The sequence below is a fragment of the Homo sapiens genome, chromosome 14, assembly GCF_000001405.40.
Source record: "Homo sapiens chromosome 14, GRCh38.p14 Primary Assembly".
NCBI classification, from domain to species: Eukaryota; Metazoa; Chordata; class Mammalia; order Primates; family Hominidae; genus Homo; species Homo sapiens.
The window spans coordinates 106,821,085-106,847,590 of record NC_000014.9 but is presented as its reverse complement, the minus strand read 5'-3'; the positions used below and the strand labels follow the sequence as shown (position 1 = coordinate 106,847,590).

General features: G+C 42.9%; 1 long non-coding RNA gene, 4 pseudogenes and 1 further gene across 1 annotated transcript in view; 5 read left to right on the top strand and 1 right to left on the bottom strand.

The window, feature by feature from the left end:
* LOC124903399 (uncharacterized) overlaps positions 1 to 1,780 on the bottom strand; it is a 32,160-nt gene extending 30,380 nt beyond the window's left edge. Inside the window, exon 1 of the long non-coding RNA XR_007064370.1 lies at positions 1,678 to 1,780. This is a non-coding gene — a long non-coding RNA (uncharacterized LOC124903399). The remainder of the gene's footprint in view (positions 1 to 1,677) is intronic.
* The window catches only part of IGH (immunoglobulin heavy locus), a 1,293,408-nt gene that overhangs the window by 32,254 nt on the left and 1,234,648 nt on the right, over positions 1 to 26,506 (top strand).
* On the top strand, positions 15,522 to 15,828 carry IGHVIII-76-1 (immunoglobulin heavy variable (III)-76-1 (pseudogene); annotated as a pseudogene). Its single transcript is given in 1 exon segment — positions 15,522 to 15,828. A coding segment is annotated over 1 exon segment (307 nt).
* IGHV3-76 (immunoglobulin heavy variable 3-76 (pseudogene)) lies at positions 19,281 to 19,730 on the top strand (annotated as a pseudogene). Its single transcript is given in 2 exon segments — positions 19,281 to 19,326; positions 19,428 to 19,730. Coding segments are annotated over 2 exon segments (349 nt in total).
* IGHV3-75 (immunoglobulin heavy variable 3-75 (pseudogene)) lies at positions 23,444 to 23,913 on the top strand (annotated as a pseudogene). The gene is given in 2 exon segments: positions 23,444 to 23,488; positions 23,593 to 23,913. Coding segments are annotated over 2 exon segments (366 nt in total).
* On the top strand, positions 26,181 to 26,349 carry IGHVII-74-1 (immunoglobulin heavy variable (II)-74-1 (pseudogene); annotated as a pseudogene). The gene is given in 1 exon segment: positions 26,181 to 26,349. A coding segment is annotated over 1 exon segment (169 nt).

The window sequence follows — 26,506 nt, the reverse complement described above, 5'->3', positions numbered from 1 at the left end:
ACCAAAAGAAGTAAACACAGTCTCCAGGAAATATGGGATTATGTAAAATGACCAAACCTCAGCATAATTGGTGTTCCTGAAGAAGAAAAAAAATAATATGTTTGGAAAACTTATTTGAGAGAAAAATTGAGAAATACATTCCTGGCCTGCCTAGAGACCTAGATATCCAAATCCAAGAAGTTCAAAGAACTCCTGGGAAATGTATTGCAAAACTGCCTTCACCAAGCTTATAGTCATCAGGCTACCGAAAGTTAACATGAAGGAAATAATTCTAAGAGCAGCAATACAAAACAAAACAAAAAACCCATCAGACTAATGGCAGACTTCTCAGCAGAAACTTCACCAGCCAGATGGATTAAGCTTCTATCTTCAAATTCCTTAAATAGAACAACTTTCAATCAAGAATTTTGTATCCTGCCAAACTGTTTGATAAATGAAAAAGAAGTAAAGTCATTTTCAGAATCACCAGTGCTCAGGGAATTCGTCACTACCAAACCAGCAGTACAAGAAATGCTAAAAGGAGTTGCAAACCTTGAAACAAAAGCCCAGTAAGCACATAAAGGGAACCTCTTAAGAGCCTGAAACTCACAGGCCTATAAAACAATAACACAGTGAAAAAAAAAAACTAGGTAAGAATTAACATGGCAAAGAAAACAGTAACTCATATCTAAATATTCACATTGAATGTAAATGGCCTAAATGCTCCATATAAAAGATACACAATGGCAGAATAGATTAAAAAATCACAATGGAAATATCTGATGTCTCTAAAAGATCCCCCTAACACACAAAGATTTACATAAACTCAAGGTAAAAGGTTGGAAGAAGGTATTTCACAAAAATGGAAACCAAGAGTGAGCAGGAGTAGCTATTTTGATATCAGACAAAATGGACTTCAAAGCAACAACAGTAAAAAAAAGACATAGATGATCACTATACAATTACAAAAGGATCAATTCAATAAGAAAATACTACAATTCTAAATTTATAGGCACCAAACACCAGAGGAACTAGATTCATAAAACAAGTACTATTAGAGATTTAAAAAAATGAGAGCGAAACAATCAGAGTGGGAGACTTTAATACAATCATAACAGCACTAGACAGATCTTCGAGACTGAAAGTCAACAGAGAAAAAATGCACTTAAATAACTCACTGAAACAAATGGATGTAGCAGATGTGTACAGAACATTCTGTCCAAGATCTGCAGAATAAACATTCTTGTAATCAGTACATGCAACATTCTACAAGATAGAACATATAATAGGTCACAAAACAAGTCTCAATGAATTTTTAAAACAGTGAAATCATATCAAGTATCTTCTCAGACCACAGGAGAATAAAACTAAAAATGAACTCTCAAAGAAACCCTTACAACTGAACAAATACATAGAAATTAAGAAATCTGCTCCTGAGTAATATCTGGGTTAACAATGGCATAAGATGAAAATTTAAAAATTACCTTAATTAAATGGTAACAAGTTATTGAAACCTTAAGAATACAGCAAAAGCAGTGGTAAGAGGAAAGTTTATAGTGACTACTGCCTACGTGAAAAAGCCGGAAAGAGCACAAGTTGTCAACCTAATGTTGACACGAGAAAAAAGAAAAAATTAAAGAAAGAAAATATAAATCAAAAAAGAGAAAGAAACAAGCTGCCTGTGTTAGGCTGACTCACGTCAAAGGCAGTAACACGCAAAGTTTCAATGATGTTATCTAAGGGCCGGAGCTCAGAGGAATGGGCTCTGAAGACTCTCCCAGCACTCCCTCAGCATAAGGATGAAAAGAGGTAAGTTTTCCTATCTCTCCTTTAGTGTAAGTGAACTTCCCTGTCGAATCTCATCCCCTCTGCTATGTAAACTATACCTTGCCTCTTGCTCTGTACGTTTTAGGAGTTTCTGTTTTTCCTGTAGTTAATGATTGCAGGTTCCTGCTTCTGCATCTAAGCAGTACAGCCTGAGCAGGTCTGGCTTGTAGCCAGCTACATGCCATGGTGGGGGTGGCAGGATGAGTCTTTGTGAGACTCCTTTGAACTAAGCAGGTAATGACCATCTGGGCTGCATGGGAAGGAGTATTGCTAACCCTGAGTTACAAGCCTGGCTTTGTTTGATTAACGGCCTCTGTCTTGCCTCTGTACGTGCGCGTTCGTGCCACTTAGGAGGAGGTGTATAAGCAAAACCTTGTCTTTGTTCGGGGCCCAGTTGTTTGGACGTTGAGTCCCTTGGGACAGAGTGCACTCAGTGAAGACCCTCCTGCTATGCCCCGAGGTGTCCCTTGCCCTCCTGATGTTCCGCAACCTTTCTTGCGAGCCAGCAGCCAGGAGGAGAAGAGAGGACAGATTGGCTGTCTCCTTTGCCGGAGGGTCTGGGGCTCTGGTCGCGGCGATCTGTGACCCCAGGGCGGCCTCGGGGAGCACTTCAGCCCGGAGGGGAGACCGGCTCTCCAGGCCCCCGGGGCCCCTCCCCTGACAGCGCAAAGGAGCGCGGAAAGGGCTGCGGGATGATCCCAGAAGCAGCGCTAATGAACCGCGGTCGGCTTTTGGGGCCCAAGGCAGGACCCGTCCCACGAGGACGGAGGGGAGCCCCATCACCTGCCGGGCTGTGCGTCTAGTCCGACCCAGGGAGGCTGCGGCGGCGAGAGGGGGTCGCTCACTCGGGTACCGCAGACGCCGCAACCGACGCGGCACAGGAGAGAGGCCCGCCAGGCCGGTTAGGAAAGGGAACTGGGGAGGGGAAGTGGGTGAAAGGGCGTGCAAGAGACGGCTGCAGGAGGGGCCGGTGCGGGGAGTGACGTGGGAGGCGCAGATCTCAGCGTGGACTGGGCGCTCCCAGCGAAGCCTGGGGCCGACCTGGGATAGCGGCGAAGCGGCTGGTAGGAGCTGCCCCGTGGCAGCAGCGGCCGTGCTGGGAATAGGGGACTCTCCTAGCCAGGCGGCCCCGAAAACTCCTGTAATAGGAGACGCTCTGCTCGGTAAAAAAGGAAGTCAGAGTGAGTGTGCGTCGTAGAGGGAGGAAATGGGAGGAAAATCGTGGAAACCCACTCCACTGGAATGTATACTAAAGAATTTTAAGAAAGGTTTTGCAGCGGATTATGGAATTAAGCTGACCCCCTGAAGTTGAAAACTCTCTGTGAATCAGAATGGCCTTCTTTAGGGGTCGGCTGCCGGCCGAGGGTGCTATATAGATAGGGAGGTGATTGGCCGGGTGTTTAAGGTGGTGACCGGGGTGGGAGGACAGCCAGGGTACCCAGATCAATTTCCCTATATCGATTCATGGCTCAATGTTATACAAAACTGACCAGCGTGGTTGCACCCCCCAGCAGCATATTGTAAGACGCCTGTGGCCCGAGCAGCCGAAGACAAAATGAAAGTAAAATCAGCCATGCTGGCAGCTGCAGAGAAAAAGGGAAAGTCACAGGAAAGCCGAGATAAACCAGTTCTGCGGGCACCTCAGGAGGAAACAGAATTTCCTCCTCCTCCTCATGTTCCAAGCCACCCCCCTTTGCCGAGACCAACTGCTCCCTCTGCAAGTTCAGCTGTGAGGCCAGCAGCCCCAGCTGTCCATGGGGAGTTAAATCCGGGAGAGTATACTCCCCCAGCCTCAACTAAGAAGGAGGAATTGGAGCTGCAGGAAGTTAGAGTGGAAAGCCCAGAAAGTCAGGCAGGCCATCTCAGGTCTGGCCGCACCTGAGTCCTGCAAATGCGTCTCAGGGAGACGAGGGGACCTGTCTATTATGACCAGCATGGCCACATCCAGAGGGGAGAGTGAACTTTCGTTTACCAGCCCTTTTCAACCACTGACCTCCTAAAGTGGAAGCATCATATTCCCTCTTACATGGAGAAGCCACAGGCTCTCGTTGACTTGATGCAGTCCGTTTTTCAGACACACAATCCAACGTGACCAGATTGAAAACAGCTTCTTTTGACCCTGTTTAATATGGAGGAATGGCAGAGAGTGACACAGGCAGCCCTCCAGTGGCTAAAACTAATGCACCTGCAGACACAGTTAATGCCCAGACATATGCATATTTGACCCTGTTTAATATGGAGGAATGGCAGAGGGTGACACAGGCAGCCCTCCGGTGGCTAAAACTAATGCACCTGCAGACACAGTTAATGCCCAGGCATATGCACGGGTCAGTTCCCTGAAACAAACCCCAATTGGGACCCAAATGATGCAACCCAGTTGCAGCACCTGCAGCGGTACTGAGAGGCAATCTTTCATGGGCTGAAGGATGGTGGGAGAAAAGCAGTTAATATAGGAAAAATCTCGGAGGTGCTCCAGGGAGCAGTTGAGAGCCCAAGCCAGTTGTATTAGAGACTTTGTGAGGCTTATCGGCTGTACACCCTGTTCAACCCTGAGACTACTGAGAATCAGCATGTGGTAAATATGTCATTTGTAGGTCAGGCCCAGGGTGATATCAGGCAAAATTTGCAGAAGATGGAAGGTTTCGCGGGTATGAATGCTACTCAGCTTATTGAGGTAGCCACCAAGGTGTACATTAACAATGATCAGGAGGCAAAGAGGGAGGCTGATTGAAGGCTTAAGAAGAAGGCTGATTTACTGGCAGCTGCCCTTACGGGAAGGGAAGCTGGTTTTGCAAGGGGATGCGGGTATGGATGAGGGCATGGAAGAGGCCGGACTGGATGGGGATTTGAGAGTCAGCTGAGACTAGAAAGAGATCAATGTGTGCAGTGCAAAAGGAAAGGACACTGGAAGAATGAGTGTCCAGAGAATAACAAGGAGAATGGTCAGGGCTGTGGTATGGGAAGGCCACCAGCAGGGGGCTGCCGCACCTGGGAGGAACCAGACACTGACCTAATCGGACTGGCCAGGGCTGAAGGATATGAGGACTAGGACAGACCGGGCTCTTTCTCTTTGGGCACCCAAGAGCCTATGTTCAGATTAGAAGTGGAGGCCAACTAGTGGACTTTATGGTAGATACTGGGGCTGAGCACTCAGCAGTGACCCGACCTATAGGGCCGCTATCCAAGAACTGTGCAACTATTGCAGGAGCCACTGGAGTCTCAGAGAAGAGGCCTTTCTGTCAGTCAAAGAGGCGTGTTATAGGAGGACAAGGAGTCCAACAAGAATTCCTGTACCTCCCAAATTGTCCAGTTCCTTCGCTGGAAAGAGACCCATTTCAAAAACTGCAGGCACAGATTACATTTGGGCCACAAGGGGATGTAACTTTAAATCTAGCTCACTCAGAGGCTATGGTGTTAACCCTTACTGTCCCACGGGCTGAGGAATGGAGACTATATGCAGGAAAGACTCCAGAACCAGGAGTAAATTAAATGCGTGGGTTACTTACTAAAATTACTGGAGTTTGGGCTGAAAGTAACCTGCCGGAACTGGCAGTAAATCCGGCACCAATTGTAGTGGAGTTAAAACTGGGAGCGACTCTGGTTCATGTCCGTCAGTACCCGCTTCTCCCTGAGGCCATACGGGAGTCCACAAACACTTAGATTGACTTCACAGGTGAGGAACCATAGTCAAATGCCAGTCACTATGGAACACCCCTCTCTTGCCAGTGTGGAAGCCGTCTGGAGAATATAGGCCAGTGCAGGACTTGTGTGCAGTAAACCAGGCCACGGTGACCATCCACCCAGTGCTGCCAAACCTGTATACTTTAATGGGACATATTCCAGTGAGTGCCACTTGGTTTACAGTCCTAGATTTGAAGGACACATTTTTCTGTCTCCAGCTGGCACCGATTAGTCAGCCTGTTTTTGCTTTGCAATGGGGTGAATCACAGTATACTTGAACAAGACTGCCACAGGGATTTAAGACTCTCCCACAATCTTTGAAGAGGCACTGGCCTCAGACCTTAAAGCCTACACCCCACCAAGCAGTGACTGTGTCTTGCTCTAGTACATTGATGATCTTCTTCTAGCAGCCCCAACCTGGAAGGACTGCTTTCAGGAGACCCAAGACCTCCTGCACCTGTTATGGAAGGCAGGATATAAAGGCAGGATATAAAGTGTCAGGGAAAAAGGATCAAATCTGCTCTGAAAGTGTCCAGTATTTAGGCTTCTATATAAGCGAAGGGAAAAGATTGCTTGGTAGTGAATGAAAGCAGGCTTTTGTGTGCTTCCCACTCCAACCACCTGGTGACAAATGAGAGAGTTACTAAAGGCAGCTGGGTTCTGCCACATCTGGATCCCATGTTTCTCACTCATGGGTAAGCCATTGTATGAAGCCACAAAGAGGGGAAAGAAGGAGCCCCTCCTCTGGGAGGCCACCCAGGAAAAGGCCTTTTAATAAATCAAAGGAGACTTGACTGAAGCTCCAGCTTTAGGGTTGCCAGATCTAACTAAGCTTTTCTTTTTATATGCCCATGAGTGAAAAGGAATGGTCATAGGGGTCCTAACTCAAGTCATAGGGTCATGGCACCACCCGGTGGCATATTTATCCAGGCAATTAGATACTGTGGCACTTGCATGGACCCTTGTTTAAGGCATTAGCTGCTACTGCTTCACTGGCACAGGAAGCTAATAAACTGACTTTGGGACGGCAACTGATAATCCAGGTACCATACTCGGTTATAACTTTAATGGACAAAAGGGGGCACCAATGGTTATAAAATCCGAGAATGATTTGATATCAAGAGCTCTTATGTGAAAATCCCTGCATAACTTTAGAGACTGTAAATACCCTAAACCTGGCTACCTTGCCCCCTTCATTGCTGTGTGGACGTAGCAGATGAAGTGTTCTCAAGCCAGAGAGATTTGACAGATCGGCCCCTCGGGGACCCGGACATTGAATATTTCACTGATGGGAGCAGCTTCATCCTAGAGGGGCCCGCCGAGCAGGGTATGCAGTAGTGACTTTGGACTCAGTAGCAGAGGCATAGTCTTTGCCTACAGGAACTTCTGCTCAGAAAGCAGAGCTAATAGCTCTGACAAGGGCTCATTGGCTAGCAAAAGACCAAAAGACCAATATTCACACAAACTCTAAATATGCTTTTGCCATTTTGAATGTTCATGGGGCTATTTACAAAGAAAGAGGACTCTTGACTGATGGAGGGAAAGAAAGAAAGTACAAGGAAGAAATTCTACAGCCCTTAGATGCTGTGTGGGCCCCGAAGCAGGTGGCTGTAATGCACTGTAGGGGGCACCTGAGGGCAGGAACATCAGAGGTGAAAGGAAACAGAAAGGCAGACAAGAGGCAAAGCAGACTGCAGTGGTGACTCTGCCTTCTAAAGAGGAAGCCTTGGCTATGCCTCTCCTTCCAGAAATTCCCCTCCCAGAGACCCCAAGCTACACTCCAAATGAAAGGGCTTTTTTTGCCCAAGAAAATGGGAGCTACGTTGAAGGAGGATGGTGGAAATTCTCCAATGGGAGGCTAGCCATAACTGAAATGGTGGCCCCCAGATTTGTAAAGCAGTTCCACCAAGGGACTCACATGGGAAAAACGGCACTAGAGACATTATTAGGTTGTCACTTCTATGTGTCCCAGCTTACGGCTATCACTTGAGCAGTTTGTGAACGGTGTTTAACTTGTGCTCATAACAACCCTCGACAAGGGCCCACTTGACCCCCCAGGAATTCAGGAAACAAGAGCCATCCCTGTGAAAACCTGCTTATGGGCTTCACCAAACTGTCCTGAGCAGGGGGCTATCAGTACATGTTGGTGCTTGTCTGCACCTTTTCAGGATGGGTCGAGGCCTTCTCCACCCAGACAAAGAAGGCATGAGAGGCGACCAAGGTATTGTTAAGAGACGTTATTCCCAGATTTGGACTACCCCTGACTCTGGGGTTAGACAATGGACTGGCATTTGTGGCTGAAGTAGTGCAGGACTTAACTCGACTATTAGGAATAAAATGGAAATTATATACAGCCTGTAGGCTGCAGAGCTCAGGTAAAGTGGAGCACATGAACTGGACACTAAAACAGCTACTGAAGAAATTTTGTGAGGAAACTCACCTGAGGTGGGATCAGGTCTTACCCGTGGTCCTCCTCCAAGTCGGGTGCACCCGCACAAAACAAACCGGGTGTTCACCCTATGAGATTTTATTCGGCCGGCCACCCCCAATCACAGGTCAAATTAAAGGTGATCTCTGTGAGTTAGGAGAACTCTAAGGAAGCAAATGCAGGCTTTAGGGCTAGCTATGCAGAAAGTGCATGGCTGGGTGCAAGAAAGAATGCCCATTGGTCTGACAGACCCAGTACACCCTTTCAAACCTGGGGACCTCGTTGGGGTTAAGAAATGGAATCATAACTCTGGGACCCATATGTGATGGGCCCCATGTTGTAATTTTGTCCACTCCCACTGCTGTTAAAGTTCAGAAATCGTGCCTTGGATCCACCACGACTGGCTGAAACCGGCAGCCCAGGACCAGAGGACCAGCTAGCAGGACCCAGACCATCCGACCCAGCTGACCCTGCGACGAGACTGGGTTCCCAGCGGAGAGGACAACAGCCCGGCTCTGCTTACTTCGGAAGCTGACCAGTCTATGCATGGTGGAAGCTTGAGAAAACAGCAAGCTCTGCTCTAGTCACTCTGGAAGCTGACTAGTTTACGCATGGCAGAAAGCTTGAGTCGTCATCATCAGATGAGTAAATGTGGCCAGAGATCTTAGGTCCAGTAATCTTATTTGTATTATTAATTATATTACTGCTGTGCTATTGCTTCAACAAATCTCCTCCACCCTGCCCATGCTAGGTGTAAGAATGCTACACCTTGCCTTGTTTCTGTCGATCCCCATATCTGTCCTAGGAGAGGAAGAGCCTATAGAGGAATGTCCACATTGCATGTGTACTACGTGGATAGGTAATACACTAGTTAAGACTTTATTGTACCATACATACTATGAACGCACAGGAACCCCTCTGGGGACTTGTATGTACAACCAAACGAACTATTCAGTTTGTGACCCAGGGGATAGCTAGCTTTATGTATACTATGACCCTAAGCTTTTACCTGGGCCTGGTTTGAGATTCGCACTGGGTCAAGGGAAGGAAGTCTTTTAAACAAGACCGAAGTTTCTCTCTCCCACAAGGGAGTCACATCTTTGTATTTTGATATTTGCCAGATAACATCCATAGACTCACTCTTTCCCGTAATCCACAGTTCCATGGAGTACTATAATAGCTGCCATAAAAGTAAGTGTGCATCCCCTGCTTGCTCCACCGGTTCCCTGGTAACAACTTGCTGGGGCTTTGCAACATGGCCTACTAACCAACAATCACTAGGGCTAATCATGCTTACCAAAATACCTTCAGAACCAGATTGTAAAACTAACATTTGCAATCCTGTGAATCTTACCACCTTGGAGCCAAATTGGCTCGTATGGACTACAGGTTTAAAAGCACCACTGAGGGTACAAGCCAGCAGCCAAGAAATAGACTCAAGAGTCTATGTCTATATTATATACATAAAAAAAAACCTGAATCCTTCTTGCCCAGCAGCAGTTCCAAGTCTTTAAGTCATTCAATGAGCACTTTAAGCAGGAGGTACCTGAAGCTCCTCCTCCTATAGCTGTAGATCTGTTTGCACGGTTGGCTGAAAACAGCTGGCAGCTTAGGTGTTTCCTCATGCTTTGTCTGTGGAGGAACAAATATGGGAAACCAGTGGCCTTGGGAAACAAAAGAGCTATCGCCTCAAGAAAATTACACTTTAACCCTTTCATCCCCAGAGCCGGCACTCACGAGCTCAAGTGTCTGGCTGCTAAAATCTTCTGTCATTGGAAGATTCTGCATTGCCCACTGGGGAAAAGCCTTTACAAACCCAGTAGGGGAATTAGTCTGCCTAGGACAGCAATATTACAATGAGACATTAGGGAAAACTTTATGGCGGGGCAATAATAAGCAAGGTAAAGATACAACCAGGTTGCCATGCCATAATCCATTTTCCCATTTTCACTCTTTAAACCACTCCTGGTATCAACTAGAGGCACCAAATGAACACCTAGCAAGCACCTTCTGGCCTCGACTGGATCTGTGGGCCATGAGCTTATTGGCAATTACCTGCCAATTGGACAGGGGCCTGTGTGTTGGGGACAATAAGACCATCTTTCTTCCTTGACCCGTTACAACAGGGAGAGGTTTTAGGGTATCCTATCTATGATGAAATTAAGGGGAGGAGCAAAAGGAATATAGACATAAAAAAAGATATAAAGATAGGAGATTGGAAGGACACCGATTGGCCTCCTGAAAGAATAATTTAATACTATGGGCCAGCTACATGGGCACAAGATGGGATGCAGGGATACTGTACCCCTATTTACATGCTCAACAGCATCATAAGGTTGCAGGCAGTACTTGAAATCATCACCAATGAAACTGCAAATGCATTAGACCTGCTGGCCCAGCAAGCCACAAAGATGAGAAATGCCATTTATCAAAATAGGCTAGGCTTGGACTACCTCCTAGCCCAGGAAGGAGGCATAGGCGGGAAGTTTAATCTGACAAATTGTTGTTTAGAAATTGATGATAACAGAAAGGCCATCATGGAAATAACTGCAAGAATGCAAAAGCTAGCTCATGTCCCAGTTCAGACCTGGAAGCCAATATGGTCTCTAGATTCCCTTTTTGGAGGTTGGTTTTCAGGTTTTGGCAGTTTTAAAACATTAATAGGGATAGTACTAGCTATATTAGGAGGCTGTTTAATACTCCCCTGCCTCTTACCCCTCCTTATCAGGGGCATCCAATCAACTATAGACGCCGTAGTTGACAAAACCATCACCACTTGACTAATGGCTCTAACTAAATACCAAGCTGTACCAAACGAAGAAAACTTGCCTTATCATGAAGAACAAAGTTGTAGTGATGACTTCTATTAAAATTTCATACATAGGAGGCATCAAAGGCAGGGTATGAGATGGGAAAAAAGAAAAAAATTAAGAAAAAAAGAAAATAGAAATTAAAAAAGAGAAAGAAACAAGCTGCCTGTGTTAGGCTGACTCATGTCAAAGGCAGTAACACGCAAAGTTTCAATAATGTAATTTAAGGGCCAGAGCTCAGAGGAATGTGCTCTGAAGACTCTCCCAGCACTCCCTCAACATAAGGATGTGAAGAGATAAGTTTTCCTATCTCTCCTTTAGTGTAAGTAAACTTCCCCGTCGAATCTCATCCCCTCTGCTATGTAAACTATATCTTGCTCCTTGCTCTGTAAGTTTTTGGAGTTTCTGTTTTTCCTACAGTTAATGATTGTAGGTTCCTGCTTCTGCATCTAAGCAGTATAGCCTGAGCAGGTCTGGCTAGTAGCCAGCTAGACGCCATAGTGGGGGTCGCAAGATGAGTCTTTGTGAGACTCCTTTGAACTAAGCAGATAATGACCATCTGGGCAGCATAGTAAGGAGTATACTAAACTTGAGTTATAAGCCTGTCTTAGTTTGTTTAACGGCCTTTGTCTTGCCTCTGTACATTCGCGTTTGCACCACTTAGGAGTAGGTATATAAGCAAAACCTTGTCTTTGTTCGGGGCCCAGTTTTTTGGACGTTGAGTCCACTGAGACAGAGTGCACTCAATAAAGGATCCTCCTGCTATACCCTGAGGTCTCCCTTGCCCTCCTAAATTTCTGCAACAATGTCACACCTCAAGAAACTGGAGAAATAAGAACAAACTAAACCTAGATCCAGAAGAAGAAAAGAAATAACAAAGATCAGAGCAGAACTAAATGAAAATCAAACAAAAAACACAAAAAACCAATGAAATAAAAAGTTGGTTATTTGAAAAAATAATCAAATTCATGGACCATTAGCTATATTAACCAAGAAAAGAAGAGCAAAGATCCAGATAAGTTCAATTAGAAATGAAATGAGACAATACAATCTACACTGCTAATATATAAAATAATTTGAGACTACTATGTACAACTTCATGTGCACAATCTAGGAGACTTACAGGAAATGGAAAAATTCCTAGAAACATACAACTCTCCTAGATTAAATCAAGAAGAAACAGTTACTTTGAATAGATGAATAATAAACAATGAGATTGAATCAGTAATTCAAGAATTGCCAACAATACCAACAACAAAATAGGGCCAGGTGAATTCACATTTGAAGTCTACACAAAATTCAAAGAAAAATTGCTACCATTTTTTCTGAAACTATTTTTTAAATTTAGAAAAAAAGAATCCTCCCTAAATTATTCTCTAAAGCTACTATAACCCAGATACCCAAACCAGGAAAACACACACACACACACACACACACACACACACACACACTCTCTACATACGAATTTTCCTGGTAAATATAGATGCAAAAATACTCAAAAAATAGCTACCTGAGTCCAACAGCACATCCAAAAGATAATTCATCATGATAAAAGTAGGTTTCAACTCAGAAATGGAAGGATTATTTGAACATACACAAGTCAATAAATGTAACACATCACATAAACAGAACTAAAAACAAAAACTATAGGATTATCTCAATAGATGCAGAAAAAGCATTTAACAAAATTCAGCGTTTTTAATTATAAAAATTCTAAGTCAGGTAGGCATAGAAGGAACTGACCTCAAACTAATAAAGGTTATATAGGAAAAACTCACACCCAACATCATGCTGAATGTGAAAAAGTTAAAAGCATTCCCCCTGGGAACAGAAACAATAGAAGAATGTCCATGTTCACCAGTTCTATTCAACATAGTGCTAGAAGTTCTACCCAGAGCAATTAATCAGAAGAAAAAAATAAAGGGCATCCATATTGAGAAAGAGAAAGTCAAACTATCACTGTTTACAGATGAAGTGATTATATACCTAGAAAACCCTAAACTCCCCCAAAATACTGTTAGTTTTAGTAAATGAATTCACTTATGTCTCAGGTTACAAAATAAATGTACACAAATTGGTAGCACTGCTATACATCAACAACAACAAAGCTGCGAATCAAATCAAGAACTCCATTTCTTTTACAGAAGCTACAAAAAGATATTTAGGAATATACTTAACCAAAAAGGTAAAAGATTTCTACAAGGAGAACTACAAAACACTGCTGAAAGAAATCATAGATGACACAAACAAATGGAAATGAATCCCATGCTCATGGATTGGAAGAAGCAATATTGTGAACATGACCGTAATGCCCAAAGCAATCTACAGATTCAGTGCAATTCTTATGAAAATACCCACATTATTTTTTACAGAATTAAAAAATAATAATGTTAAAATTCATATGAAACCAAAAAAGCCCAAATAGCCAAATAAATCCTAATAAGAAAAAAATGGAGCCATCACATTACTGAACTTCAAATTATACCACAAGGCTGCAGTTACCTAAACAACATGGTACTGATATAAAGTAGGTTCATAGACCACTGGAACAAAATAGAGAACCCAGAAATAAAGCCAAATATGTAAAGCCAACTGATGTTTTACAAAACATACAAAAATATAAATTGGAAAATAGACACCATATTTAATAAATGGTACTGGGAAAACTAGGAAGCCACATGTAAAAGAATAAGACTGGATCTCTATCTGTCACCATATAAAAAACAACTCCCATTCAAAACTTCAAAGAAATGCATTTACATAAATTGGAAAAAAACTCTTTATAATTTGTATGGCTGGGGTGATTGACCCAGGCTATCAAGATGGAATCATACTACTACTCCACAATGGAGGTAAGAAATAGTATGTTTGGAATACAGGGGGATTTCTTAGGGCATCTCTTAGCATTACTTTGCCATGTGATTAAGGTCAATGGGAAACTACAACAACCTAATCCAGGCAGGCATACAGATGGCTCAGATTCTTCAAGAGTAAAAGTTTAGGTCACTCCACCAGGTAAACAAACAAACAAATGAACAAGAAACAAAACTGACCAGCCAAGGTAACTGCTGAAGGCCAAAAAATACAGAATGGGTAGATACAAGAAAGTTGTTATCAATACCAGGTATGACCATCAACCAGAAATGAGGACTGGAATTGTCATGAGTATGTCTTTCTTATCTTCTTAAGAATATATTTCTGCATGTATATAACTGTACTAAGAAAATGTTTTCTTTTTGTTTTTCATGTAACATAAGATTTATCGACTTCATATTAGCATTTGAGAGTTGTTAACTGTATATAGTGGCATTTAGGTTAAGGATTAGTGCATTTTCAGTTGTATGAAGGATAGCTGTATTATGTTAGGCATAATTATGACCTTACTATTGTCTTTATTTGGAGATCGAGCATGATTTCAGGTGATATGTAGGGATGCTAAGTTGACAACAAGGGATTGGCCTGTGATAGTTAATATTAGGTTTAACTTGATTGGATTAAAGCATGCTTAGATGGCTGGGAAAGTATTGTTTCTTTGTGTGTCTCTTGGGTTTTGCCAGAGGAGGTTGGCATTTGACTAAGTAGCCTGCAAGAGAAAGACCCAGCCCCAATATGGAAGGGCACCATCCACTCAGCTGCCAGCACAGCTAGAATAAAGCAGGTGGAAGAAGAGGAGATAACATTGCTTGCTGCGCCTTCTGTTTTTGTTTTGTTTTGCTTTGTTTTCCTTGCTGGCTGCTTTCTTCTGCTCTTCCTACCCTTGGACATAAGATTTCACGTTCTTTGGCAGTTGAACTATGGGGCGTGAAGCAGGGGCTTGCTGAGGGTTCTTGGGCCCTTGGTCAGAGAATGAAGTGTGCACTGTTGGCTTTTCTGGTTTTGAGACTTCTGGACTTAGACTGAGCCACTACCAGTTTCTCTCTCTTCCCAAGCTTTTAGAAAGCCTATCATGGAACTTTCATTTTGTAATTTTGTGAGAAAATTCTAATAAACTATATTTCCTATATACATATGTTATATTAGTTCTATTTCTCTAGAGAACTCTGGGTAATACAGCTTTGATACAAAAAACAACATTGTTGTATTCACAAAAATGTATCCTAAGATAAGCCAACACATAAAAGTGCATAAAGTATGATTCTATTTCTAGGAATTATAAAAAATGAAAATGAATCTAAAGTAACAAAAAAAGATCAGTAGTTGCCTAAGGACAGATTGGAAAATTATATTTTTCCAAATGCTACAAATGATACTCTCACCTACTATGAGCATTGCTCTCTCCTCAGGAATTTCACCCAAGAACCGACTCTATAGTCGGAGACATGCAAACAGGTTCCTGTTCATGTACGAACTCTTCCTAACACTTTCTTTTCATGTACTTCCTTGACTTATTTGTTGATGAAGGTTGATACCATAAAAATAACTAAACCAGGCTCACATTAGAGAAAAAGAAGAGAGTGATGGAAAGATTAAGCCGGAGCATCCAGTTTCAGTGATTCTTTGACCCTGCCCTCCCTGAAGTCTAGAGGCAGAGGGATGAGCCCTGCTGAGCAGTTCACACTTGTCCACAGGGAGAAAGAGGTGTAAATGTGCCCCCCATCCATGCTCATAAAATGGCCCATGGACAGCTTATCCCCTGTCCATGAAGGGGATGCCACCTGATGTCGGTGCCCTTCCTCAGTGTCCACACCTTAGGGTCTCTGCTAATCTGGGGTTCTCTTCTTATTCTCAGAGGTAGGGTCCCTGTGGATCAAGCCTAGCTGTGGCTGCTTCTCAGCCTGTTCCCTCTGTGTTTGTAAGAGTCCTACAAGAAGTTCACTGGTGGAATCTGGAAGAGAAATGATACAGCCTAACTGTTCTCAGAGCCTTTTTTACAAAGCCTCTGAATTTACCTTCATTGACTCTAGCATGAGCTCAGCCCAGCAGGCTTCAGGACAGGGGTTGGTGTGGGAGGCAAAAGCGAGGGATTCAAGTGGAATTTGTTAGTGGTACCCTCCATCAATACAAAGAAAAATCATAATCCTCAGGGACACCCTTGTCAGCACAGTCTCCCTCAAAATGACCAACCTGAGAGCCGAGGAGAAGGCCATGTATTACTGTGAGAGACACAGGAGATATCCGTGTGGCAACCTAACACAGGGGACACCTGTATTTGTGTCTGAGCCCAGACACAAACCTCCCTGCAGGGAGACAGGAGGGGACCGTGTGACAGACACTGCTCAGAACCACCAAGGGGAGCTCAGAACCAGCAGGAGGCAGTGGGGACACAAAGGAAGACTCAGGAGCCACCAGGGGGCGCTCAGAACCACCTGGGGGTGGTGAGGACACCAGGGGGCGCTGAGGACACAAGGGGAGGATCAGGACACCAGGGTCGGCTCAGGACGCGAGGAGGTGCTCAGGACACCAGGGTCTGCTCAGAACCACCAGGGGGCACTCAGGAACCACCAGGAGAGGCTCAGCCACCACCAGGGGGCACTCAGGACATCAGGAGCTGCTCAGAATCACCAGACGGCGGCTGGGCGCGGTGGCTCACGTCTGTAATCCCAGCACTTTGGGAGGCCGAGGCGGGCGGATCACGAGGTCAGGAGATCGAGACCATCCCGGCTAAAACGGTGAAACCCCGTCTCTACTAAAAATACAAAAAATTAGCCAGGCGTAGTGGCGGGCGCCTGTAGTCCCAGCTACTTGGGAGGCTGAGGCAGGAGAATGGCGTGAACCCGGGTGGCGGAGCTTGCAGTGAGCCGAGATCCCGCCACTGCACTCCAGCCTGGGGTGACAGAGCGAGACTCCGTCTCAAAAAAAAAAAAAAAAAAAAAAAGAATCACCAGACGGCGCACAGGACATGAGGTGGCGCACAGGACATGAGGTGGCACTCAGGACACAAGGGGGAGCTCAGAACCACCTGGGGGTGGTGAGGACACCAGGGGATGCTGAGGACACAAGGGGAGGATCAGGACACCAGGGTCTGCTCAGCAACCACCAGGGGGCGCTCAGGACATCAGGAGCTGCTCAGAATCACCAGACGTCGCTCAGGACATGAGGTGGCACTCAGGACACAAGGGGGAGCTCAGAACCACCAGGGGGCGCTCAGGACATGAGGTGGCGCTCAGGACACAAGGGGGAGCTCAGAACCAACAGGGGGCGCTCGGGACACTAGGGGGTGCTAAGAACACCAAGGGGCGGTCAGGACATCAGGGTTCTCTTAGGAAGCAGTGCATCATCAGGTCCCTGGGGAGGGTGGGTTTCTTTATTTAGGCCTTGTGATTCCTGACCTGGTAAAGTGAAACTCTTCTCAGCATCTTTTGCCATTTCTTCCTTGGAATCCATGTTTCTCTTACCTACAAAATCCTAACTTAGAACAGGAATTCAATTAAACTTTTAATTCTTTATATTTTTGTAATAATACTAGTAATAATATCTCAGTACAATTTTAAAATGAAGAAATTGTGTATGCTTACTTCAAACTATTTACACAGATTTTTGTTACTGTGCTGTGTCAGTCACACTTTTGTAAATGTTTTCTAACAATAACTCAGCATATGCATGGTGTTGAGTTTCTTTTTCTTCCATTTGCTGATTGTGAAGATGAAACCCCACTTTAAGGGCTCCTGTCCTCCACTTTGGTGGCCCCTGGTGTTCTGCCCCTCAGTCTGTTTCTCCACCTTCCCTTCTTCTTTCCAAACCTTTTATAATCCTCAATTTCCATTCAAGGAATCAGCAAGCCCGTTTATTATGTCTCATCCATGTCTGGTGAATCAGTTCACTTCCCTTTATGATCACTGAAGCCAACCAAGTATAGGCAGGCAACAGTTCTAAGAATATGCTCATCTACCTGCAGACTCTCTGCCCTCCTCACCCCTTTCAACGGTCCTGCAGACATCACCCCACCCCATCCTCTATCTTCCCTAAGTACCACAGAGTGGGCTCTGCAGCTCCTGCTGCCCACTGTGTGCTCAGCCCTGGGGCTCACTAGTGCTTTGATGATAAAGCCTAAATCCCTAACGTGTTTGCACACTTCCTGACCACCCTCTAGCAAGTTGTCATTGTGAGTGAATCCTGGGAACCCTGTGCTGATATTAATTCTATATTTATGGATATTCTCTAGCATCCAGGAATATTGTCAAATAACCTATCGAGTTGATGTTAAAAATTCATGTGAAGCCATTGCAAAAGAAAAAAGTCTTTAAACTGGAAATTGCTATTTTTTAATACTTAATATTTTTTTAATTTAATATTTAAATGCTATTTAAATTAGAAAAAGGTGATGCCTTTTGTAAAGTACAATGTTATTTCAACCAATCGTGTAATAAAATTTTAATAGAGATGCTTGCCTTATTGATTATTATATTTATTTATAACATTAAATGCATTAAAACATTTATTTAAAAAATATGCTATTAGTAAAAATGGGAAATAAGCTAGCACAGAGTATGTAAAGAATACCATTGTATTTTTCAATGATAGATTTGTCAATAATGGCAGTTACAGTAAGTTTTATTAAAACATGCATTTACATATATTTCTTAATTTACATTGGAATAGACAGACTTACTCATAGAAGAATGTTACTTTGGACTAAAACCTTAAACTATAAATACAAATAAATCCATATAAATTAAATATAATAACACAGAAACAAATGTATGTCACTTTGATGTTTGGAAATGCATTTATTTTTGCCTGTGCACATATATGTTTCATTGCTGGGTGTGTGTGTCTGTGTCTGTATATATGGGTGTGACTGTGAAGTTTCAAAATACATTATTAACTTGTATAGTTATATAAATCTAAGTTTTTTTATGTTAAAAGATAGTAAAAAAACACACACAAAAATATTCTAGAGAGCATTTGCAATAACTAAGGAGTATTCAGGTGTTGTATTAATAATGAAAAACTAGCCAAAATGTTTTTAAACTTTTATTTTAGGTTCAGAAGTACTTGTGCAAGTGTTGTTTTATAGGCAAATTGTGAGTTCTGTTGGTTTGATGTACAGATTATTTTGTCACCAAGGAAATAAGCATAGTACCTGGTAGGTAGTTTTTCAATTCTCACCCTCCTCCCACCCTCCACACTCAAGTAGGACCTAGTGTCTGTTGTTTTCTTTGTGTCAATATGATTAGCTCCCACTTATACATGAGAACAGATGGTTTGTAATTTTCTGTTACTGTGTTACTTTCCTTAGGATAATGACCTCCAGCTCCATCTATGTTGCTGCAAATAACATGATCTTATTCTTCTTATGACTGTGTTGTATTCCATTCTGAAATATACATAAATCAGTAAATGTGATTCATCACACACACACAATCATCTCATTGATCAATATTAACTTTCAATGTAAATCTCCCAGGAATCTTTCATCTTCTCTTGACCCTCCCCTCTCCTCAGGCATCCCAAACCATAGCTTTCTATATATTAGGATACATGAAAATAGGGCCCTCTCTCAGCTGATGAAAACCAGCCCAGCCCTGACTCTGCAGCTCTGGGAGACAAGCCCCAGCCGTGCAGTACCAAGGTGCTTCCATTCAGTGATTAGCACTGAACACTGAAGACATCCCATGGAGTTAGGAATGCGCTGGGTTTTCTTTGTTGTTGTTCTAAAAGGCAATCAAGAAGAACTAGAAATATTGTCTGTGAGTGATATGAGTGAGAGAAACAGTGGATCTGTGTGGCAGTTTCTGACAAGAATGTCTCTGTGTTTGCAGGTGTCCAATGTGAAGTGTAGCTGGTAGAGTCTGGGGGAGGCTTGGTACAGCTTGGGGGGTCCATGTGACTCTCCTGTGCAGCCTCTGGATACACTTTCAGTAACTATGGCATGCACTAGGTGGACCAAGCTCCAGGGAAGGGACTGGAGTGGGTCTTACATTAATGCTAGTGGTGGAGGCATATACTACTCAGACTCTGTGAAGGGCCGGTTGACCATCTCCAGAGAAAACACCAAGAACTCACTGTATCTGCAAATAAACAGTTTCATTGCTGACACCATGGCCGTCTATTACTGTAAGAGACACAGTGAGGAGAAGTCAGTGTGAGCCCAGTCACAAACCTCCTACAGGAACGCTGGGAGGAAAATCAGCTACAGGGCTCACTCAAGGCCCACTGATCAGAGTCCACTCCAGAGGGAGGTTCACATGGAGGTTAGGGGCTGGTTTTCTGTCAGGACATTGGACTTCATCATCTTCTTCCATTACTTTCTTTAGGGAGCCTCTTCATTTTAGAATTCTGTGTGTACTATTGTTATATATACATATATATATATATATATATATAAAATAATCATAGTAATGCGAGGACATATTTTCTCATGCACAAAATGTAGATTGACACTTACAGAGAAGAAAAATTATCAACCAATGTCAAAAACATCAGAGTCCTGGAAAATCTTAAGTGTTCTGGTGGGTCATCTCTAATCAGACCCAGAACAGTAACCTCAGTGAAATTCCATGATTCAGATACTATTTTTGGATTCTGATCATAACCAAGACAGAGTCTGGACCAGGGTCAGTGTCATATAGAACCTCACAGCTTCCATATATGACCCTTCTCTTGACAGTGAAATATGAAATTCAGTATCAGCAGTGATTTGATTTTTCTTTTGCTTTCCGTATTCTTTCTTTTTAGTTGTTGTTGTTTAGTTATTTCTTTTGCTATATCCATTTTCTTTTTTTTTAGTTGTGCCTTTCACTTTTGGCTTTCACTTTTCCATTTGCTTTTCCTGCTTCCTGATAAAGGGAGATGTAATCCCTGTGGTCTAAATTCCAGGGCTCAAGCCTTTTCCTGGGAGCTCAGGTGGGTCTCAGGATGTGGCTCCTGCAGCCACGTGAAAGAGGCTGATGGGACTTTCTTTCCTTCTCATGACTCAGGCATTCCACGGTGTTGTGTGGAGACTCATCTGAGATTGCACGTGGCCATTAGTAGTGAAGGGGATGAGATGTGGGTGTGGACTGATCCTGTGCTGTGCAAATTGTCATTAGTAGTGAAGGGGATGAGATGTGGATGTGGACTGATCCTGTGCTGTGCAAATTGTCATTAGTAGTGAAGGGGATGAGATGTGGGTGTGGACTGATCCTGTGCTGTGCAAATTGTCATTAGTAGTGAAGGGGATGAGATGTGGGTGTGGACTGATCCTGTGCTGTGCAAATTGTCATTAGTAGTGAAGGGGATGAGATGTGGGTGTGGACTGATCCTGTGCTGTGCAAATTGTCATTAGTAGTGAAGGGGATGAGATGTGGGTGTGGACTGATCCTGTGCTGTGCAAATTGTCATGGAGTCACTTTTCTCACCATAGTGTTAGAAAGAGACTGTAAAAGTTGTCAGAATCAAACTGCAACAATTTGTGTTAAAACCTGGGAAATGGAGCTGGGAAGGCCATGAGGGAGGGTTCTCATACACATGCCTTCCATAACAAGAACTGTCATAAATAGATTCTGCAAAACCACAACCTTGCACAAAGGCCAGCACAACCTTAAAATAATTACTTCTCCAAGTACATCTGCCCAGAGGTGCCTGTGCAATATTACACTGATGCCACCCTGGTTATTGATCATTTTATCCCAGGTTAAGTGTCTCAAAACCGCATATGTGGCCCTCCTCATTTTTTCTTTAAAACACTTTCCTTATTTACCTACCGAAATGTGCCCGTGCACATTCCCATTGCAATGCTAATTCTCAAATAAATACCACTTTACTTTAGAGTTTCTTTCTGTCTGATATTCAGGTTTGACAAGCTGCAGATGGACTTGCCAATTTTCTGTGGGATACAGGGTATAATAATTATGAGAGATGTGTAGGCATGTTCAATGTTCATAAGAGCAACCGTAAATAAATGCAGGCTGGAAGTCTCAGAGAGAGCTGAATGTGCTGAAACACCATACTATTTTATCTTCTCCCATTCTTTTCTGATTGGAATCAGACCCAACCAGGTTATCAATGCCAATCTACCTAAGCTAGAGCCAACTGATTACGGTATCAACAGCAACAATAGCTTTTTATTTTCTGCTTGGCTTTGTATTGTTACCTTGTTCCATCCTCTAGAGTATCTATTTCAGCCCTTCGGATACCGGTTTCAGAGGCTTTCCCCTAAAGTGTAATTTCTTAGTTTTGTAGTGGTGATAAGGGAGGAGGTGGGTCTGGATGTGTTTTAGAAGTTCAGGCTGTCATTCTCTCCCAGACAGACACTTTAGTACAGAACGATTTATGTGGTTGTCCCATTTCTACAGGAAAGATATTCAAGAGAATAAGAAAGCTCTTCAGTATTTGGTCCCTGAGAATTTTACACTAGAGCACATTCACCACTCTTGACTTTAAGCAACCTAATTAATGTATTTGAAGCCTTATCTTGAAATAGACTATATTTCATATGGCAGACTCTGCCTCAGGTAATCTCATACCCTGACTTTGTTACTCTCTACAAGAACTTGTCTCTCCCTAAATTTCAGATTTGTTGTTTGTCTTAAAATTTCGATTATCTGAAGTATGAAAGACAATTTGCCAAGTTTCTTATTTTCTGTTCATCTGTTATTGTTGATGTTGTTGTTGTAAAATACAAAAATATATATATTTCTTATCTAAGTACTTCTGCAAGCTGAGTAGCAGATATTTTTGGTAAAACCCAGAATAACAGAAGAGTCCACATATTAATTAGCTTCTTAATAGGAAAAATCATTATAGTAAATTTGTTCACTGGACTGTTACCCATCATTTATAATGTACAAATATCTGATACACACAACAAACTAAAATATCTAGGTATTTATGCTGAGTAAAATAAGCCAAAAAAATAAGTATATATGCTATATTATTCCATTTCTATAAATTCTGGAAAATGAAAACTAACCTACAATAATTTAATGAAGAACAGTTGTTGCCTGAGGAAATGGTAGAAGAAGGGAAAGGGATAGGAGGAAATGTGGAACAGGAGAAAAAATTGAGGCGAATTCACTTGTCCACTTTCTTGATAATGGTGATAGTTATGTCATGTTTATCAATGTATACTTTAAGTATATGAAGTTTATTATCTCTCAATTAGACCTTATAAAGTTTATTACAAGCAAACAAATAAAAAATTAGACAAAAAGAACTGATAGAAAATGGGTAACATATGTTAAATGCCAGTTACCTGAAAATTTATCTGCGTGAACCTTAGTTCTCTCCATAATTTTAGGTGAACGCTGGAGTGTAACAGAGTCACAATATTTTCATTAAGGCAGTAAGTTCTGCAAGCCACACTAGACATGTCCCGCTCTGTCCTGGAGTTAGTTCAGGGAACACAGTGATGAGGAACACGGGCTCAGATACCGGAACTCACTCATCTCAGACATGAGCACTTAGACACATACATAGGCACTCTGTGTGTGGGTTTACTTTCACATCCGTACATGGAGAAACATTGAGTCTCACAGACATAATTTACACACATATTTAAAATATAATAAGGTGTTTGATGCTGTTTATCACAGCACAATTTCCTCGTAAAAGTGCAAATCTTCTAAATACCATAAGTTACCAAACTCCTGCAGGACACCATCATCCTCTCTCGGCAATGCCTTCTCCTCACGTGTCCCACCCTAGAGTTTTTTATGTAGTTGGAAATATGCAAAGGACCCTCCTTCTTTGGTGAAAACCAGCCCTGCCCTCACCCTACAGTTCTGGGATGGGAGACCCAGCCCTGGAATTTCAAGGTTTTTCCACATGGTGATTAGCACTGAACAGAGAACTCACCATGGGGTTTGTGCTGACTTGGGATTTACTTGTTACTATTTTAAAAGTAGATTCAGGGTGAACTAGAGATTTTGAGTGTGAGTGGATAACAGTTAAGGAAACACTGAAAATATGTGCCAGTTTCTGACCAGGATGCCCCTGTGTTTTTGGGTGTCCAGTGTGAGGCGCAGTTGTTGGAGCCTGGGGGAGACTTGGTACAGCCTGGCGCGGTGGGGGTGGGGGTCCCTGAGACTGTCCTGTGCAGCCTCTGGATTTGCCTTCAGTAGCCACTGGATGCACTGGGCCTGCCAGGCTCCAGGGAACAGACTGGAGTGGGTCTCATGTATTAGTACTGATGGGAGTAGCATACGCTATGCACATTCTGGGAAGTTCTGATTCCCCATCTCCAGAAACAATGCCAAGAACACACTCTTATCTGGAAATGAACAGTTTGAGAGCTGAGTACACAGCCACGTATTACTGTGCTGGAGACGCAGTGAAGGGAAGTCAGGTTGAGCCCAGACACAAACCTCTCTGCAGAAACACATGAAGTAAATCAGCTACGGGGGCGCTCAGGACCCACTGATCAGATTCAACCTCAGAGGCAGATGCAGATACAGGGTAGGAGCTGGTTTTCTCATAGTGTTTGTAACTTCCCTCTCCAACTGACAGTTTCCCAGAGAACCTCACTAATTTAGAGTTCTGTGCCTACCAAAAAAATCTCCAAATATACACCTTTTAAAAGGTAGTAATATAAAGGCCTAGTCTCACATGCACAAAATGCAGATCACCACTTCCAGGCATGAGAAGTTCTCAACCACGGTCACCAAGATCAGAGTCCTGAGGAAGCTCAGGGGTGCCTTGTGGGTCTTCTCCAATCACATTCGGGACAGGAAACTAAGTTTAATTCCCTGATTAAAAAAGGCTATAATTCCCTGATTTAAAACGTTTCATTCCCTGATTAAAAAAGGCTGGAATTTTTCTGATTCCAGCCAAGAAAGAGGCTGGGCCAGAGTCAGTGTCACGTACAAGCTCACAGGTTTCACGTCTGCCCCTTCTCCTGATATGAGACTATGCAAAGCAGTATCAGCACTCATCTGCTGCACTTTTTGCTGTCAATCCATTTTCTTTCTTTTCAGCTGTTGTCACTTTTTCGTTTTCTTTTCTGCTCCCTGAAAAAGAAAGATGTGGTCCATGCGGTCTAAATTCCAAGGCTCAAGCTCTTCCGCTGGAGCTCAGGTGGGGCTCAGGCTGTGGCTCCTGCAGCCGCATGGGAGAGGCTGATGGGGCTTTCTTCTTTCCCCAGTGCTTGGGACCCTCCACCGTGTTTCATGGGGACTCATGTGGAAATTTGAGTGGCCCAGGGGAACTGAAGGGCATAAGCTTGTTTGGTGAGAGTGAAACGTGACTGTGGAATTGATTCTTTGTTGTGCAAACCAGAAGAAATTTTGAATTTTGTCAGAATCAAAACGGAGTCACTTTTGTTAAAACTTTTGCAAATGGGACTGGGAAAGGCCATAGAAGCAGGGTTCTCATACACTTACACTTGGTAACAAGAACTACCACAAATAGAGCCTAAAAAACACAACCTTGCACAAAATCCACCACAACTTTAGGAAAAAGCTACCCCCACAAGGATATGTCCTCATGTACTGTGAGTCCAACTTTCCACTGTTGCCACCCTTGTTATTAATCTTTGCAGCCCAGGAAAATTGTCTCAAAGCAACTTAGCAACTTACTTAGCCCTTCTTATTTTAACTTTAACTGCCTAAGAATTTATACCGTGAAGTAATTGCTTCATTTAGTGTTAATATTAATGCCCTTTTGACAATCTTTGAAGCTCTTTTTTTCTGATATTTCTTCCAACATAAAGAATGGGAGCTTTTTCACCATATAAAGAATTTTTAGGAAGATATGATGGAAAGGGAAACTCAATGTATTGTTCAGTGTTTCTGCCTAACACATCAATCTCTTAAAATATTTTGCTGTGTCTGCATGTGATAAAGCAGATGCTAACACTGGAGATAAAAGAAAAAAATGCACAGACCTTCCACATTCCAAATCATAAAGTGGTACTGGATGTGTTTCTGATGAAGTGAACCATGGGTCATAAGTGCTAGTGCAAGTAGCTTTGGAAAATGGAGTTCATAGCTTCTTAAAGTTTTGCTAGTTTTAATTTAAGAATGTTATTTACTATTTCTTTTTAGTACAAGCTTTCCAGAAGATTCTTGATGGTAATGGAAGTGTCGCATTTAAGAATTACAAATGACTCACAGAGTTACTTTGTAATTTTTTCTGTAGGGTGTACATGTCAGTCACTTGACATAAAAGCTCATATGTCACAGATAGAAAAATGAAAATTGAGCCAATTTTAATAACTGCAGTGGAAATAGTTTTTGGCAATGAGTGCTTCAAGACAACCACAAAATAAATCGGCAAAATATTAAAATACAGCAGGAATCTGATCTCAGTTTCTCTGCCTTATAAGAACAAGGCTGTCCCACATCAAAATTATTATTCAAGCTCTAGGAAAAAATACACTTTTGGATTCTGGAAGCTAAAAGCTCTCTCCTTAGATAGTGCTAAAGTACTTGTGAAATGCAGAGTTGTGTTCATGAAAAAGATGACTTTATTGTGATTTTTTTTTTTTTTTTTTTGCCTGTTGACAACTCACCAATCTGTCTCAGATGTAAAGCCCTGCTCTATGGGTTGAATGTGGTTGCACATGACTGGCAGAGACTGATTATTCATATCTCCAGGTGCCCTGTCTTTGGAGCAGCTACAGGAGTCAGGCCCAGACTAGAAGAGCCCACACTGACCTTCTGCATCACTTATGCTCTCTCTGGCCACTACATCACAAACAGTGCTTATGACTGGGCCTGAATCTGCCAGCCCAGGAAAGGGCTGGAATGGATGGGGTGCATTGGTAGTGATGGTGGGGGTCCTACTAGCCTGTGGCAAATGGAAGCATCTCTTTTTTATCAGACTGAATAATATTGTAGTGTTTTCTTATACCACATTTACTTCATCCCTTTGTGCATTAACACTTAGGTTGTTTTTATATATTGGCTGCCATAAATAGAGC